General features: G+C 39.0%; 1 protein-coding gene across 7 annotated transcripts in view, besides 1 other annotated feature; it reads left to right on the plus strand.

Moving 5' to 3' along the window:
* The window catches only part of PDE4B (phosphodiesterase 4B), a 582,070-nt gene that overhangs the window by 502,370 nt on the left and 61,126 nt on the right, over positions 1-18,574 (plus strand). The window lies entirely within an intron of this gene.
* Positions 6,511-6,570: an enhancer, noted in NCBI's record as "active region_1148". NCBI's record gives its function as "activates an Ori minimal core promoter by ATAC-STARR-seq in GM12878 lymphoblastoid cells {active_cell/tissue: GM12878}" and the evidence as "EXISTENCE:reporter gene assay evidence [ECO:0000049][PMID:35858748]".

Below are 18,574 nucleotides of genomic sequence, written 5' to 3' on the forward strand. Positions count from 1 at the left end.
TGTTTCATGACTCATGCCTGGCTCTGTACCTGAGTGATTCATTTGGTGGAAAACATAGCTGGCTCAGAGAACCTTTCACAGGCCCCAGACTTTGTTGAAATCATTTGAAGCTTCATTTTGTGTGTATATTTTCCTCACTTCTTTAAAACTGAAATATTAATTGCTTATGAGAAATAGGCCCTGATCATTGGAGTTTATGTGTATGGCCACTTGAGATTTAGAAGTAGATCAGGGACTTCGAAGTAGGGGAAGTGTTTAAGAACCTGGGACAGGTTTGTTCCTAGTGGCTTTTCTTTATCTCCCAGCAGGAATAAATAGTAGGTCCAAGGGAATCCTGTTGGATAGAGTTCAAAGGGGACAGGCCCTTGGTAGGGGCAGACTAGATTAGTGGCTTTCAAACTTTTTTGATCATGACTCACAATAAAACATATATTTTACATTAAGACTCAGCCCCACATGTCTGTGTGTTTTGTGAAATAATACTTACCTTTACTATATATGCTTTACTTGATATTTTCTATTCTATTATATTTTATTCCATTCTATTCTTTTTGTTTTGTTTTGTTTTTTGTTTTCTGACGGAGTCTCACTCTGTCATGAGTGCAGTAGTGCAATCTCGGCTCACTTCAACATCCACTGCCCAGGTTCAAACAATTCTCCTGGCTCAGCCTCTCATGTAGCTACAACTACAGGTGCATACCACCATGCCTGGCTAATTTTTGTATTTTCAGTAGAGACAGGGTTTCACCATGTTGGCCAGGCTGGTCTTGAACTCTTGACCTGAAGTGATCCTCCCATTTCAAAGTGCTGGGATTACAGGAGTGAGCCGCTGTGCCCGGCTCCCATTCTTTTCTTTTGTTGTTTTAAATAAATGCTGGCAAAGACCTATTAAAAATATTTCACAGCTCAGTAGTAGATTTCTATGTACAACTTTCCAGTTTCTGTCCTCTCTGCAGCACCCTCTAAACACACACATTGTTAAAATACAGCACAATATAGCCAATTTTCAGGAACATCTCTCTGGCACTCCATCCTTCACACTAAAATACTTGCAACTTCTCGAACACCATACTGTCTTTCACTTCCTTCACGTGTCGCCCTCTCTGCTCAGTGCACTTGAGTACTTTCCCACTCCAATTCCCCTTTGTTCATCAGGCTAATGCCCGCTGGTTTAGACCCAATTCAGAGGTCAACGTCTCTTATTAGGGCTGTTTGTTTTCTGCACTCTCCTGAGCATCCGGGGCTTATCTTTATCTCAGCCTTATCATGCTGTGTTATGATGACCCATTTATATGTTTTTCTTTCCCACTAGACTTATTGGTGGCAAAAACTATGTCTTATTTGATATCCACAGGACCTGGCCTAATGCTTGGCACATACCTGATTAATAAATTCTGGATGAATGAGACCTACATACTGGTAGGCACGTGATAGGGAGTGGGCTGACTTCTTGGTAAACTGTAGTCTGTTTACGATAAACAAGAAAGCATACTTTTATGGAGAATGCTCAGCTTCTTTTAGTTGATGTGCTGACCCTCATTGCAATTCTTTTTCTGTTGCCAATAGGAGATAATGTAGCAAAGTAGCTATGAAGTCAGACTGAGGAGCTGCACAGAACTGGATTTGACTTCTGGCTCATCAGTTACTAGCTTTGTGACCTTAGGCATGTTACTTAATTCTTTTAAATCTCAGGTTCCTCATTTGCAAAATAGGAATAATAACCTTCTGTGGCTGTGGTTAGGATTGTGTGAGTGTTATTAAATAATGGCATATGAGCTCCATGAGGTCAGGATTTTTGTCACTTCAGTTCATTGTCATGAACTTAGAAGAGAGGCTGGCGCATATTTGTTGAATCAATGAATATTTTGTACATAATAGACCATCAATAATTCATAGCAGCTCTTATTCATGTGAATTTTTCACCAACTCTTACACGAAATTTTTTGGAGTATGTATGATGTGCATAATAATTCTGTATCCCTTCTTTAGTCAGAAGTTAGGGACCCACCTGTGAGGTGACCCTTCCAGAGCCTCAAATTCAGTGACACAAGATGCATGTAGAAACAGTTGCCTTTCGAAAGAAGTTGTTTTCAGGCTAGAAATTAAGTTTAATCATTCCAAGGCTGTTTGATTCTGTGGAAGTTCTACAGTTCTGTTTTTGAGTCATCGCCCATCGGCATTTGACTCTTCGTGTCTCTTTTCATACATCTCTTAGCCATATCACCATTTGCTGAATATTAGACTCACACAGATTCAGATTCAGAGTCTCGGGGGAAAATGATTGCATTTCTAAGTGTTCTTGGAACTGTTTCACTTGCTTCCTCGACAGATATCTTGTGTAAGGTCCATAAGGATAGAAAATCCATTATTACCTAAGACCCTTTACTGTTTCCCATTTCATGAATAGATGTTTGTATTTCAGGTTTTCACTTGGGTCTTTCCCATGTTCAGTACTTTTATAAGTAACTTATTGTGCTACAACGAAGGTATTGTTTTAGGCTTTTTTGAATTTCATCAGCATGCAGACATCCCTACGTACTATATTTCTACAAAAAACCCACAAACTTTAAAAAGTAATTCCCAAACTCTTAAAGAAGCCAGGCCAAATAAAAGGATGGCATTGCTTTATTTCTATGGCATATTGAAACAGTAAGAATGAAAAGAGATCCTCAAGAGAGCGGTTTTACCTTGCTTTTACTTTCTCATGCATTTATCCAAAAAGTCCTTTTTATTATATTATTCATTATATATTATTCATTGCAGCTCACTCCTCAGATAATTAACCCACTTCTATGATAATAATGTTACTCCATTCATAAGGACTCTGCCCCTTAAAGGTGCTACCTCTCAACACTATTGATTGGGGATTAAGTTTCCAACACATGTGCTTTGGGGGACACATTCAAAGCACCAGAGGGCCTGGTCTAATGATTAGGAGTAATCATTAGAATGGTGTAATTCATCATGGTGTAGGTAGTAAAGTTAAATGATCCAATTTATTAGTCCATTATTCATTCATTAGTCCATTATGGTTGCTTACCTTACATATGACTAGGTTGGTGAACAAGGTTGTCCTATTACTTATCCTATTATATGTAAAAGTCTGCCCAAAGCTGTTTTAATCATTTGTATGAATGTAGGTACCATTTCAAAGTGCACTCCTTATCATAAACTCTTGAGATACATACTAAGATGATATAAAAGAGAGTGGCAAATCCTATAGCACTGTGCTAATTTAATAACTTACAAAGTTCATCAATAGAACAATATACTTTTGTTCTCATGCTGACTCTTGTTCTCAAGTTGAAGATTACTCCAAAGTCACTATAGTCATATTATGCTGTCTGGGGCTCTTCATTGAAATTTTGAAAATAGGAGGAGGAGCATATCCAGTGGTGAAAGAGAAAACATTTTGGTAAGTGGAAATGGGAGAAAAGGAAGCTTGCCTGACTACCTAATAGGCCTTACTTAGTTGCTTCAGTGATGGGGACCTAGTAGACCACAGAAGGGCCAAGCTGTCTGGAAAAGAGAAGGGTTGTCATTTCTGGAACCCCTACTATGTGCCAGATACTTCATGGGTCTTTTACATCTTTAAGTTGAACCTATGGGGGATTTTATTGCATTCGTTTTAAAGATAAGTTAACTGCTGTCCATTTAAAAAAGTAAGTACAGTTGCTTTGCAAGATCACACAACTTTTATGGGGCAGGGCCTGGGCTTGAGTCCAAGACTTCAAAGCTTGTGTTCTTTCCACTAGCCACCTACTCTCAGAATGCTCCTGTTAAACCCATTATGTGGCAAGTCAGGTATGTGTTGCACTTGACATCTTTTTTAGTTTTCCACTTGTACAAACATTCCCTGAAAAATTGTGGAGAGGTTCCATACAGTGGAACTTGAGATTTCATCTACTCAGCCTTCTACCCTGAAAGGTTCCTCTGAGCTCATCACTGTAACCTGAAATGTCTTTCACATGGATCTGAAAACATTTAGTGAAGTAGAAAGTACTGTGCTCATAGTAGTCATTCTGTGGTACCTTTTTTTCCTTTTTAAAAAAAGGAAAAAGTTTAGTTGACACCAAATAGTTGTATATATTTGTGGGATACAGAGTGATATTTTTATATATGTATACACTGCATAATGATCAAATCAGAGTAATTAGCATATTCATCACCTTAAACATTTATCATTTCTTTGTGTTGGGAACATTCAAAATCCTCTCTTCTAGCTTTGAACGTATACAATAAATTGTTATTAACTATATTTACCCCATAGTGCAATAGAAAACTACAACTTATTCTTCCTATCTAGCTCTAATTTTGTATTCCTTACCCAAACTCTCTGTCTTCCTCTTCCCACTAATCTTCCTAGCTTCTAATAACCATAATTCTACTCTCTATTATGAGCTCAATGTTTTTTAGCCTCCAGATATTAGTGAAACTTGCAGTATTTGTCTTTCTGTACCTGACTTATTTTACTTAATGTCCTCCAAGCTCATCCATGTTGCTGCAAATGACAGAATTTCATTCCTTTTCATGAGTGAATAGCATTCCATTATTATATGCCATATTTCCTTTATCCATTCATTTGCTGATGGACATTTAGGCTAATTCCATATCTTGGCTATTGTCAATAGTGCTGCAATAAACGTGGGGTGCAGATATCTCTCCAATACATTGATTTATTTTCCCTTGGATAAATACCCAGTAGTGGGATCACTGTAATATGGTAATTCTATTTAAGCTTTGTTGCAAAACCTCCATACCGTTTTCCATAATAGCTGTGCTAACTTACTTTCCCATCAACAGTTTATAAGAGTTTGCTTTCCTCCACATCCTTGCTGGCTTTTGTTATTTTTTATCTTTCTGATAATGGCCAAAAGCTTTTAGCTTTTCCTCACTCATTGTGACATTAGCTGTGTGTTTGCCTGTTTTGTGTTGAGGTTTGTACCTTCTATGCCTAATGTGTTGAGAGTTTTTATCATTAAGGGAAATTGAATTTTATCAAATGCTTTTTTCTGCCTTTATTTGTAGGACTTTTTAGTAACAAATTTCATTATAGAATGTAAATATTATAAGGAAAAAATATATGTTATAATATGAATTAATAATGGCATGAATATTAAAACCAAACAAAATGCATATTGGAAAAATTGGCACTATTGCACAAACACAGACATCTAGGGGAATGTCTTTCTCTCTGGTGTTCGTGTTTTTACCTTCTTCAGCCATGTGAAAAGACTTTCAAAGGTTCTATTTTATTCTCAGAGTTGACAGACTCACCCTTCAACAGAGTGGGCATCAAAAGCCAATAGCTGCCTTGAGTAAATTAATTTTTGTTGATTTTAGTTCCCCTTTAAGACTTCCTGAGATACTGATCATGGAAATGAATATTAGCGATTTAATTCTGGCACCTCGTCAGGACTCACACTGCATTCCTGGGTGCAGCCTGGAACATCACTGCTGGCTGGACTCACTTCTCCTTGCCCACCAAGGGACCTGAAAACCACATTAAGGTGGAGAGGAGAGTGTGGCACCTCCTTGCTCAGAGATCGGCCAGTTCACTGTACTTTATTGACTGTGGACTGTTGATTTATCCAGCCTTCTCATTTCACATGTGAGGGAGGGCGATTTGGAGTGACTTCTGTGCACTTACATAGCTGATAATAGAGGATGGACCAGAATCCACATCTCCAACTACCAGTCCAGAATTCTTTCCATTCCCCAGTCACTCACTTATTCATACATTCATCTAACATTTATTGGATGCCTACAGTGTGTGTATAGCTGTGACTACAAAGATGAATTGGACGCAGACCCTGAACTCAAGATCTTTACCCTGGCTTGTGTTTTTGATTTCCCAGAGGGTCTGAGGTCCATTAGGAAGGTGACTATCTGCCAGGGCAGTCTCTCCATGCCGGCTGGATTAGGCAATCACTGCTGGCCGTATGCAGTCCCGTTTTCAGTGTCCAAGTCTATTCTTCATAGATGGCCTATTCTCTGTTTTTCTGACTTTCTTACTGGGGTTTCTCACCCAAACATAGCATTACTGATAAATAATATTTAAGTGGCTGAGCTCTGAAGATTAAGCTATTAATATCACAAACAGGCTCCATATTCTCTCTAGTAAAGAGCGAAAAAGAGTCAGTATGTATGTGTGTGTGTGTTTACACATATGAGCATGCGGTGTGGCTCTCTGAGACACTTAGAAGAAAAGTTCCTGCGTGCTCATGAAAGGCCCATAGTACAGCTATGAGTATATTCCAGGCCTCACATGGCTGCAGTATTCACCAGATTACCAATATTAGAGAAGCAGATTTTTTTCTATGGGTAATTTTTAATAATTTAAGGGCTCTCATTTCTCATTATTTCAGAAATCCAACTTGGAGCTTCTCATTTGATCAGCAAGTATTTTCCAAGGGCCTCCTGTATTCTCAGCCCTGTAAGAGGTTTGGGCCTTGGAGGCTGAGTCAGAGATCATGATATTCAAACCGTTTTCACTTTCATTTTGTTGTTGTCATTTTCTCTCCATTTGATCCTGAGGTAAAAAAGGACTAGTAATATTATCTCTATGTCACAGAGGAGGAACCAGAGGCACAGAGAGGCTTAATGACTTGCCAGGACCCTCAAGGCTATAAGCAGGAAAGCAGGGGCGAGACCACCAGGCTTCTTACCGCTAGGACAATGCTTTTTTTTTTTTCTAACTATGCCAGATTGCCAGTCCATATTTTTTTTAATTCAGGAAGGATTAGAGAAAAAATATTGCAAGCATATAAATGTAATCTCATGATAGAATAGTAACAATTACATAAAAATACTAAAGTTCATTTTAAATACTACCTAAACTAGGTCATGAATTCATCCTATAGCTTTTTCTCCCAGCAGGCATAATTGAGTTGCTTTCCCAAATGCCAGGTTATTCTACCCATGCGAGTTATAAAGACCTTTTTCTTGAAGGGATTACTGCTGAACTTCTCCTAAGTCATGACTTTGTGATGGGAGAGATATAAGTAACATGTTCGTTGGGCTTTTATAACTCTAGAGAAAGCTCTTCCTAAATCTTGGAGCTTACTGCTCAGCCAACTTATTGACTTTGTTTAGGAGGTGGCCATTAGCCTCTCAAACCACAGAGGTTTGGACTGTTCAACTACAGTAAGCCCAGAAGCAAAGAGAGATTAGAACACAGCATCACTGGGTGAAAATGGGGAAAGCTAAACTGCTTCGAAATTGCAGTGCTCTGTCCTATACTCATTTCTGGAGGAATCAAGAAGAGCCTGAAGCAGAAGTGACCCACTGGCCTTGGAGACAGGAGGCAATGGAAAAGCACAGTTCATCCACAAACCAGCCTCTCTGAGCATCAGCTTCCTAGCTGCGTGACATTCCCAAGACTCTTCCCTGCACTAATTTCCACATTTATAAAAAAGAACCACAGATGTGTCCTTGATGGTCATCTTACTGTCATCTGTTACCACCACATACGCTGTCTTGTTATGTGGCTTGGGAAAATCTATAAACTGGTCTTTTGGCTTTGATCACCTGATTGATTTACTGTCAGCAGATGATATTAAAATTAGCTTTCATTTGTTGAGCAAATCTGGATGGGCAATTGAGGTGGAAACAGGGAGTGGCCTGGGTGGTGGCTGGAATTAGAATAGTAATCTCTTGTGTTTTAGAGGTTACAAAGCACTTTCCCACATGTAGTCTCATTGAATTACTACAAAGTCCTGCAAGGGCTGGTATTCTTAACCTCATCAGACAAATGAGAAATTGATGTTCCGAAAGATAAAGTGACTGGTCAGCATTCACAAAAAGATTTGGTGGCAGTACAAAAAGTGGAATAAAAGCAAAAGCTCTTGCTTGCTTTCTGGTGCAACACATCAGAGATTGATTAGAATCTACTATAAGGCTTTTTGGCTATGCTGAGATGATCGACAATTAATTATAAAACACTGTCAACATAGACACTGGTGCTCTTCTCTTTCTGGGCTTTCATACCTGCTCTTCTTGAGGTTTCCCTCCCCAACCTCTATCTGTGTGTAACTCCTTCAGTTTATCACTTGGAAACCACTTCCTCTAAGAAGACCCAAGACCTTGCTAGATGCCCATCCTATGGGTTTCCATGGCATCCAAATATTACCCACACTCTGTTCATACCACTCTAATTCAATTGCCTGTGTTGGAATATAGCTCCATTTAGGCACTAAGAATACTTATTCACGAGTCATTCATGAGTGGTTATTTTTTCACCATTGTAACCACAACACCTTGAACAGTAGACCCTGGATAAACATTTCTTGAGAAAATGTTGCCTGATCTGCTGTAGCCAAGAGGAAGTTTTGCTTCCACATTGCCCTCAGGGCTGGGAGGGAATTAGAATCTCTTCCCCTACCCTCCTGCTTTATTAAGGTATAATGGACAAATAAAAATTATATATATTTATGGTGTATAGCATGATGTTTATATATATATGTGTGTGTGTGTATATATATATATATATACACACACACAGTGAAATGATTAAATCAAGCTTGTTAATATAATCTGTCACCTCATAGACTTTTTGTTTATGGTAAGAACATTTAAGATCTACTCTCTCAGCAATTTTCAAGCATACAATACCTTATTGTTAGCTAAAGTCACCGTGCTGTGCAATAGATTTCCATAGCTTATTCCTCCTAACAGAAACTTTGTACCCTTTGACCAATCTTTAAAGCCATCCAAGACAGTACCATTTCCAGAAGGAGGCTCTTAGGAATCCAAAGAAACCAAACTCTAGCTATTTGCATAAAATGTTAGATCATTCCCAGAAGTAAGCCTTAGAGTTGAGAGAGTACTAGAAGTGTGACAAGGATGGAGGTTAGCATTTGTGTATCCTTATGGGAAAACAGGTAAGAGCGGATATTTTTGGAGTTACTGGGAAACTTAACCATGACACTTGGCCTGCTTATGTGTCTGGTATTATTGCTGGGAACCAAGCTTCATGCCAAACCTCTAGCTATCAGATGTCAGTTTTGGGAAGAGACTTGAACTTGCTTATGTGGTTATTTATAACAGTAGTTTTCTATTTTGTGTCAGGTTAGAAGACACCATCACACCACTGAAATATGTTATCAGAACCACATGCAGATAGAATATCGTAAATATGGTAGATGATGAGCAAGACCTAGGACTCACAATTCAGGAAGATACAGAACCCAGCATTTAACCTAGTACCTACATGTACAAAATCCTTTCAGGTATTTAGGAGTTAATAAGCATATTAATATAATCATCCTACAAAATGAATTTGTCCAATCTTGTCAGTGAGGTCATTTCTGCAAAATTTTAAAGGGCTTGTAGAGTTTGACAAGAGATAAACATTACAGGCATTGTGCTGAATTTTCAGCAAAAGCAGTCATAGGCAATATAAAACAAAAGAGCACGACTGGGTTCTAATAAAACTTTATTTACAAAACTAAGAAGTGGACCACCATGTTTGCTACATCACGGTTTTCTGACCCTGGTAAAAATACACCTATCAATTCCCATTTTTACTCTTTCATTTCCTTCTGGAAATCTTTCCTATGTTCTCCATCATCCATAAGCTAAAGCCTAAACTCCTTAACTCTGCTCTGATCTGAACAGTCCCTCATATTTAGTGGTCCTTTTCCTCTCTTTGTGCTCAAGTCACATTTTTCCATGCGGATAATGCCATTCTCAATGCTTTCTACTTAGTCCAATTCTACCCATCCTTTAAGGTAGATGTCTTCAAATGACATAGAGGGGTCATATCAGAATCATCTGGGAAGCCTTTTGACAATAAACACAGTGCTCCTCTCCCACACTAAATTCTCGTAGACCCAGTGAGGAGAATGGGGAAAGCAGGGACATACAGGGTTGGAAAATGTCCCTCGCCTTATTCAAGAAATTCTCACCTTCTTTTAAAACTACTGCTATAGGACATTACTAAAATCCACTTCCTCCAAGAAGCTCTCCCTGATCACATAAACCCATACTCAGCTTTTCTTTCTGTGGACCTCCTCAGTCCTCAATGCTCACAAAATTCATTTTAACACCTAGAGTATTATTTGGCTATTTAAGCTTTTCCTGTGCCAGGCACTGTTATAGGTACTGGTGTACAGCAGTGAACATGACAGTGAATGCCCTTCTCTCAGAAGATGACACTCTAATGACTTGAAGAGACAGACAAGTCCATGTGCCCAAAAGAGTGAAAAGATAATTTCAGACAATGGAAACAAGATAATGGGATAAGGAGTGACTGGAAAGCAAAGCGTAAGGGATGGTTGGAGGGATAAGGAAGTGCTGTTTTAGATAAAGAGGCCAGGAAAAGCTTAAGAAGTCTGTAATTGAGCTTAAAATCAAAATGCAAAAACCCAGAGGAAAAGAACTGCAGGCAGAGGGAATAGCACAGTTTTATCTTTCCCTTCTGTGAAAATCCTATTGAATATAGAATGTTGGAGAAGCAAGACTCATAGAGATATGAAAAATAGTCTTCTTATTTAGGGTTGTTAGATAAAATATGGGATGCCTAGTTAAATTTGAATTTCAGATAAACAACAGGTAATTTTTTTAGTAGAAAGACTGATTGTAGTATAATAACTGAAAAAAAGTATTATCTGAAATTTAAATTTAACTGGGTGTCTGGTTTGTTTGTTTGTTTTGGGTTAAACCTGACAAGCCTACATTTTATTCATAGGAAAAAGGTGGACCAGGGTGATTTGTGTCTAATATCCTCCAGCTCCTTTAAAGCTGTACTGAGACAAAATCCGAATCTAAGCAGAAGCAATTTAATTTGGTGTTGCTATTTCAGAAGATCTTATATTGTTTTCTGACTGTCTCATTGGATAGTAATTTGTCTTCCTGGTAACTCCTTAATAACAGATTCCCTATGACTTTTTAAAAATCATATACTAAGTTCAATATTAAGTAATTAATTTATTCTTTTATCCTTCATCTATCACAAGCCAGTAATAATAGTACTTTCCTGAATAAAAGGTGACAGGCCTCCATTCTCAAGTATAGTAGGAGAAATTAGCAGACATAACTCATTTAAAATCAGCTTGGATCATGACAAAGGGCCGCAGCAGAGGCACCCAATAGACTGCGTTTCTGAGTAGGGAGATCCAGCATGGGAATCAAGGAAGCCTGATGTAGGCCTTGATCAATGGCAAGAATTTCAATAAGGGATTATAGAAGACATCATCCAGGAAAAATAGATCAAAGACAATGTGCTGAAAATAACAGAACTTGTATTGGTAATAAGTCCGTCTCTGTGGTTGAAACAGAGAATAGCTAAATGATAAGAGCATGAGATGTTAGACCTGGGTTTTCACAAACCCTGTACACCAAATTAAGGGATTTTATTTGTTGTCTTTATTTGATACCTTTGAAAACTTGTGGACGTCTAAATATTTTTGAGCTGGCACTTGATGTAAAAAGGGTCACAAATGAAGAAAAGCAATCTGATGCGGTGTAAAAACATGGAGACCAGTAAGAGAGTGACTGCAGAAGTCCTAGTTATTCAAATGAAGACTCAACTCTAATTTATAATAAGACAAAAGGAAAGAGGGCACTGAATGCAATAGATATTTTTGAGATAGAAACTCCGGAGCCTGCCAACTGGTGGGTTGTAGAAGTTGAGAGAAATGGAGGAATTGAAGATAAAGCTGAGATTTTAAATCAACGTGACTGGGAGAAAGACGGTGCCATTCACAAAAGTATGGAAAACCTAGGGAGATTGGTAGATTGTAGGTGGAGAAGACTTAATCATTTTTAAATATTGCATTATAGAATGTATAGCTATAAAGAGCATCATGATAATGCCCAATCCCTTTGTTTCATGTAGAAGAAAATCCAGTGGGAGTAAGTAACTTGCCTGTGATCACTCAGTAAGTTAGTGAAATAGCCAGTTCTGGAAATCTGATGCCCTATTTTCCCTAAACAGTGTTTCATTCATAAGATGGGCTGTCTTATGATGAGTTTATAGAAGTAGAATAATTGTGTGGTGCTGTGCAGTGATCAGTTGGAAATACAGATGTGGCACTTTTGTAAAAGATCGGGGACAATGATTTGGGAGGCATCTAAATGAAAATAACATTTGAAGGTGCGAAAACAAATGTGGTAGCCGAAATAGACGTAGTGCATTTAAGTCAAATGTGACAGATGACAATGGGGACTAAGAAGAAGTCTCCACTGAATTTCACATTTAGAAGGCCATTGGGATGAGAGAGAAAGAGAGGGAGAGAGAGACAGAGACAGAGACAGTGCAGAGTGAGGAGCTGGTGCAGAAGTGGAAACAAAATTTAAAATTATTTTTCTGGAAGCTGACAGTAAAATGAGAAAGATAGAATATCATTGAAGCAGGGCCTAAAGAAAAGCTTTCAGGTTGTTGTTGGATAGGAGAAAAATAAATGCACATGTAGGTAGAAGCAATGAAAGCCATGGAGAGCAAGAGGGTAAAGATGTAAATGAGTGAGGATAGTACTGAAATTGGTGAGGTCCTGCAAGAAACTAGAGGAGACAGAGGAGCAGGAACCAGGAGGACACTGAAGCAGATGGTTAAAAGCGGAGATAGAGAAGCCTCCACAGCACAAAGTGGTGAAGTGGATGGAATTCAAATTGACCTTTATCTCATCAGTGAGGTAGAAAGTTGTGTTCTTGGTTAAAAGTTAGAGGATAGAAGTGGGAATGGGAATTTGTGAATAGTGGAAATGTCTTGACATAATGACTGTGGAGAATCAGTAGAGAGATGTAAACCCAGATTGAGGGCCTTGCTGAGGGTAAAGTAGTGCATTTGTGGTAGACCTAATCAATCTAGTTTCTATGCTGTTCAACTATGGAAGCAGAAGAGAAAATATGAACAATGGGAGATTTCCAGGAATTTTCAGGTGGTGGTGAGTACCGGTTTTTTTGTTGTTGCTGTTGTTATTGTTGTTTTTAAATTACTGTTGATGGAATTAATGTTAGGTAAAGAGTCAAGCAGACTGGGCAAATGTCTGCTTGCCATTTGCTGAATGAAGGAGTTAAGTCGAGGGCCAAGGTCAGGTTCTCAAGGGTGCTTTTGTGCCAGGCTTTAGCTGCATGTTGCACACATTATTTTTTTATCCTTGTGATAATAGGAAAAATTAGATAAATCATAAACTTATGAGGTAACCATTACTACCCCAAATTTACAGATAGAGATCCTGAAACTAAGATTGAGTGAACTGTGTACAAAAAGACCCACAGGAGTAAATGGCAGAACTTTTTCAAACCCTGCCTTGCCGTTGCCTCCAGTAGCCAGGAAGGAAATGCAAAATTGGGCAGATAAGGTAGCTGAGGTCAGATGAGGAATTTCAGAAATAGAGATGGAACACTTCCTAATGATAAGCTCCAAAGTGAAGCAGTGGTGACAGAGGAAGAATCAAAATGCTGGTTATAGATGTCAAGGTGCAAGGAATTAGAGAGTTCATGGATTTTTTTCCGGAAACTTATTATTGAAGTATCATATGCAGAGAGAAAAGTGCACAAATCACAAATGTAGAAATCAGTGATTTTTAATAAAATGAACATACCTATGTAACCACTACCCAGACCAAAAGAACAGATAACTGCCAATTCCATAGAAGGCCCCTGGAAGTCCCTCCTAGTCACTAAACCCCAAAGGTAATTACCATCTTGACATCTTGGCTTAATATCAAAGATTAGTGTTTGTCTCTTTGGAGCTTTGTATTAATGGAATCATACTATTTAATGTACTTTTTAATATCTGGGCATTTTTTGCTCCACATTTGTACTTATGAGATTCATTCCTGTTGTTTCATGCTACAGTTGTTCCAGTAGATTTAACCACTAATATAACCATGCAAATAGTTGCCACCTTTTCTAATGAGAAAAGAGTCCCATTATGTGAGGCCCATAAACAAAAGATTATGTATATTTTTATGCATTTTTATTGGATAGAAAGTGTGGGCAACTTGACAGATACATTTCTGACATATACAGAGCTATGCTAACATTGCATTTAGATATAGTTACTAAAAAATTATAAGAAAGTTCTGCATGTTCTACTCTATAGTACTACAAACAGCCTTGTAATTAGAAAAAAGAAGGTTCAAAATTTAGTGCAATTTACACATACATTGTCGATTCAGGAAAGAGGCTAGGATTCAATGAATGCACTGACATTTTGAAACAAACAAACAAAAAATCCTGTGTCTTTATGAGTGTTTGGAACTTCAGGATTCACCAAACTATTCTTGGTTGTTTGGAAATGATGTACACTTAGTCCTGGAAGAAGATTTAAGGAAACACCACCTGCCTTTCAGTAGTATGTTTCTGGGAAGGCTCTATGTTAACCATTCTGCAATACAAATATAAATAACTAGATACACTTTAAGACACAAGACGTAATGGTCTAAAAAATGATGTTCCAGAGCAGTTGGAAATGCAGACAAGTACATGATTAATATTGCAAATGGGTTTATAAAATCTCCAAGTTGCTCAACCTCCCTTGAGACTCAGTTTCTTCTTCTATAAAATAGAGATAATGCTCCATCTAGCTCCCTGGGCTTCTATGTGAATCAGATGACGTGGTATATAAGACAGTACTTTCCAAATTGTAAGACAAGAATATGGTATGATTCTTACTTGCGGTAAATCCTTTTCAGTTGCTCATTGCAGGTCAATGTGAAGGGGGAATACCCAGATACGTAGCACCACAGATTGCAGCAAAGTTTAGCCAGGTGATGAATAAGTTTGCCTTTGGAATCAGACAGTCTTGGATGGGAGTACAGGCTGTGCCACTCACTAGCGGCTGTGTAACTGGAGGCAAGTTATTAATCTCCTAGAGCCATAAATTTCATTTCTAGAATGGAGATCATAGCATTTGTTAGACTTACCTAGAGGAATAGGTAATTGTAAGAAATGCACCCCTCATGGCACCTTGTGCTCAGAATTATACCAATAAATAGTGTCGGTTACCATAATTCTATTATGATAATAGCAATAATAATAGTATGATGGCTTCAAGCAGCCACTTAGTGCTGTTGATGTACAAGGCAAACATTGACGTCCTGGGGTAGTACCTGCCAGGCTCTCCCACTGTTTTGTTACTTCATTATTTAAGGGAATTTTTCCAGGCTGATGATAGCAGGCTTGGAACCTTGGTAGCTTACATCCTGTGGCCTCTGGGCACCTACAAAATTCAGGTGTCAAGGGAGCCTCATGTGGGAGGGCCTCTGATAGAGGAACTACTCTCCTCTTCTCTGCTCCCAGATTCTCAGGTAAGCCCTGTGCCTTTCTGTAATTTCTTGATGAGTTTTAGAATAATGGAACATATGAGCAGAAAGAGACCTCTAGACATCATTTGGTACAACACCCACATTTCATAGCAGAAGAACTAGGGCTCATAGAGGCTAAGGGGCTTTCTTTTAGAGTGAGCTGGTGATAAAGCCGGGACTATAACTCAAATCTCCCAATACCCAGTTCAGAACACTTTCTTCTCTTCCCCGCTGCCCTCAGGAGGTGGCTTCACCTCCACTCTCTCAATGCAAATGGAGGATTGTTATCTGCTTTAGATTTGGGCTTGAATCTTATTCTCCATGGAATCCCTTGGACAATGCTTTGCACATAATAGTTACTCAGAAAAAAAGTATCTTTAAGTGGAATTCAATTTCTAGGATACCCTCTTCTCATATTCAATTTTTAGAGCAGAAACCAACCTTAAATATCATCTTTAAATGACCAAGTTCATTTCTCTGTGCTGCACATGTCCTACTTCCTAGGAACATTCTCCTCTAGTTGTCCTGGGCAGTCAAGCCATCTTTCCATTGCTCTTCCACTGCCCCCACTGTACAGCTACGTGCTAATGCTTATGTCAAGATAGCACAATATAGTGGCTAAGAGTATAAGACCTGGAGTCAAGAGAGAATGAGGTTCCTGGCTGACACTTACTAGATCTTTAATGACTCTAAACCTGTTTTCTTATCTGTAAAATGGGGAAGGTAATGCCTACTTTGTAAGGTGTTAAACACTAATAGTATGTAAAATCTTTAGTATAGTGCCTAGCCCATATTGAGTGCTCGATAAATGTATTAATATTAGATTGCATCACAATGTATACATTGATATGTCTGTCTCCCCTGTTGAACTGTTATCTTTGGGTACAGAACCTTGCCTTAGTTAATTTTGTATCCATGGGATCTTGAACGGTGTTGTCTGGTGCAGAATAAATAGTCAAGATTTTTAGGAGAGGGAGAAAGAGAAGGAAGGGAAGAAGGGAGGACCAGTTATGCGGTGCAGCTGAGCGCCAACCTAAAAAATTAAAGACCTGGGTTCAAGCTTCAGCTTTTCCATCTACTGGCTGTGGAGTTCTAGGCAGTTACTCAATGTCTGTGAAACACATTCTCTTTATCAGCGAAACAGGTTTGCTAATACTGACATCATAGCATTGCTATGAGGATAATTTGAGACAATGTGAGACTGTTTGCATATTGAAATGTACTTTACAGATTTATACAAATCATCATTGCTATGAGAAGACATGCCTTCACTGTCTCCCTTATTTTACCAGATAATCAGCCACTTTGCAGTGACTCCATCTATGGAGCAGAAAGCACCCCGTTAGGTGCTGTGAGGAGGCCTTTGCTTTCAATATGTTTACTATGCAGAAGGGAGGTTAGAATCCACAACCTCCACTCACAGCCATGGCAGGTAGCTTGAGAGAACTTCTGGCTGGGAGCCTTTGACCTCCACTGACCTACCTCTCCGAGTGCCCAGCAGCAGCAGTCTCTGAAGTGACCCCTAATACGGCATGCACATGCCAGGCCTGCTCAAGTTCATCTTTGGAATGCTGTGTCCTTTGTCAAATGTCACCAGCATCATTTTCTCATTTCCCTCATGACACACATTTTAAAGCAGCAAAGTGTATTCCCCATGATGTAAATGGTACAGTGGCAGAGAGTGGAGACAGAGGGTGCCCTAATGCCAGTGGAAGAGAAAGTCAGGGCTGATTCCTGACCGCCACTTCCCCGCTCTGAGCACCGCATATAGGGATCTGCTCTGAGACCTTTATCTTTACCTTCATACAGAGCTTCTCCTTCCTTACGTATAAATCCCCAAATGTATAGGTCTGGGAACCTCTAGAGAAACACGGATATAGAGAAATTCACCTCAGTGCCTCTTATTCTTCATCAGGGATCTATAAAGCTTTTTCAATAGTAAAAGCAGCTCCTTTTAAACACTCCCTGAAAGCATTACCTGATTTCCTCACATCTAAATCCACATTTCTTTAACCTACTCTTTTCATCTAAATGAGAGCTTTAGGTGGATGTTGAGCCTCCATTCTTAATTCTGGAGGCTTGGGTTTCTCCAGAATGTTTAGAAGGTTTGGCTCACATGGGTGTTGGTATTAGTTTCCTATTACTGCAATAAATATTACACAAACTTAGTGGCTTAAAACGACACAAACCAAGGTTTTGGCAAGGCTGCGTTTCTTTCTAGAGACTCTAAGGGAACATCCATTTTCCTGTCTCTTCCAGCTTCTAGAGGTTGCATGCATTCCTTGGCTCCTGGCCCCCTTTCATTTTCAAAGGGAGCAATAGCTGGTCAGACCTTTCTCACCTTCCGTCACTGTGACACTAAATCTTCTGCTTCCCTCTTCAGCATTAAGAACACTTTCAATTACATTGGGCCCCACTGGATAAGCCAGAATAATCTCCTTATTTTCATGTTACCTCACTAGCAAACTTAACTCCATCTGCTACCTTTTGCCATAGAACAGCACATGTTTACAGGTTGCAGGGATTAGGATGCAGACATCTTTAGGAGAGTGATTTCAGGATCTCAAAATTTCTCTATAGCAGGATCAACAAACTACAGCCCATGGGCCAGCCACATGTTTTTGCAAATAAAGTGTTACTGGAACACAGCCATTTGTTTATTTATGATCTGTGATGACCTTCGTGCTAAAATGGCAGAATTGTTTGCAACAGAGACCATATGGCCCACAAATCTAAAATATTTATTGTCTGGCTCTTTTGAAAAAGTTTACCTCTGCTCTGTAGCACTTTCTGTGTCTTTGGTTCTGACTGTGACTCTTTAGAACATCACTCACAACCTTGTGGATATCTGCTTCATGTTTTAATTACAACCCCAACCCCACTTTTTAAATTCTAGCAGTGTTCTGCCTGCCTCTCCAGCAGTTCCTCCTCTATCATCAATTACCATAAAATTATTTATCCCTTGTAGTAACTCCAAGCACCATAGAGTGTTAAGTCTCTTTACTTTTTCCCTCTGCTTAAAATGCACTTACCTTCTTTCTCTATCTCTTGCCAGGCAAGCTCCTATTTATCCTTTAAAACCGTGCCAATGCATAACTTCCAGGAAGCCTTCTCTAACATGCCCATCCAAGGAGAAGTACTCTACTCTGAAATTACTTCTAGAATTCTAGAATAGAATTACTTCTACTCTCAAAACAGTCTTGCTGGACTGTAAGTGCCTCAGTGGCAGTGACTGAGTGATTTACCCTTCTTGTTGCCCCTGAACCTTGCTGGAGAAACTGGTTCTTTCTATTTCGTGGAGGGAATGGCTCTTTTCTTGA

The sequence above is a fragment of the Homo sapiens genome, chromosome 1 (genome assembly GCF_000001405.40).
Source record: "Homo sapiens chromosome 1, GRCh38.p14 Primary Assembly".
Classification (NCBI taxonomy): domain Eukaryota; kingdom Metazoa; phylum Chordata; class Mammalia; order Primates; family Hominidae; genus Homo; species Homo sapiens.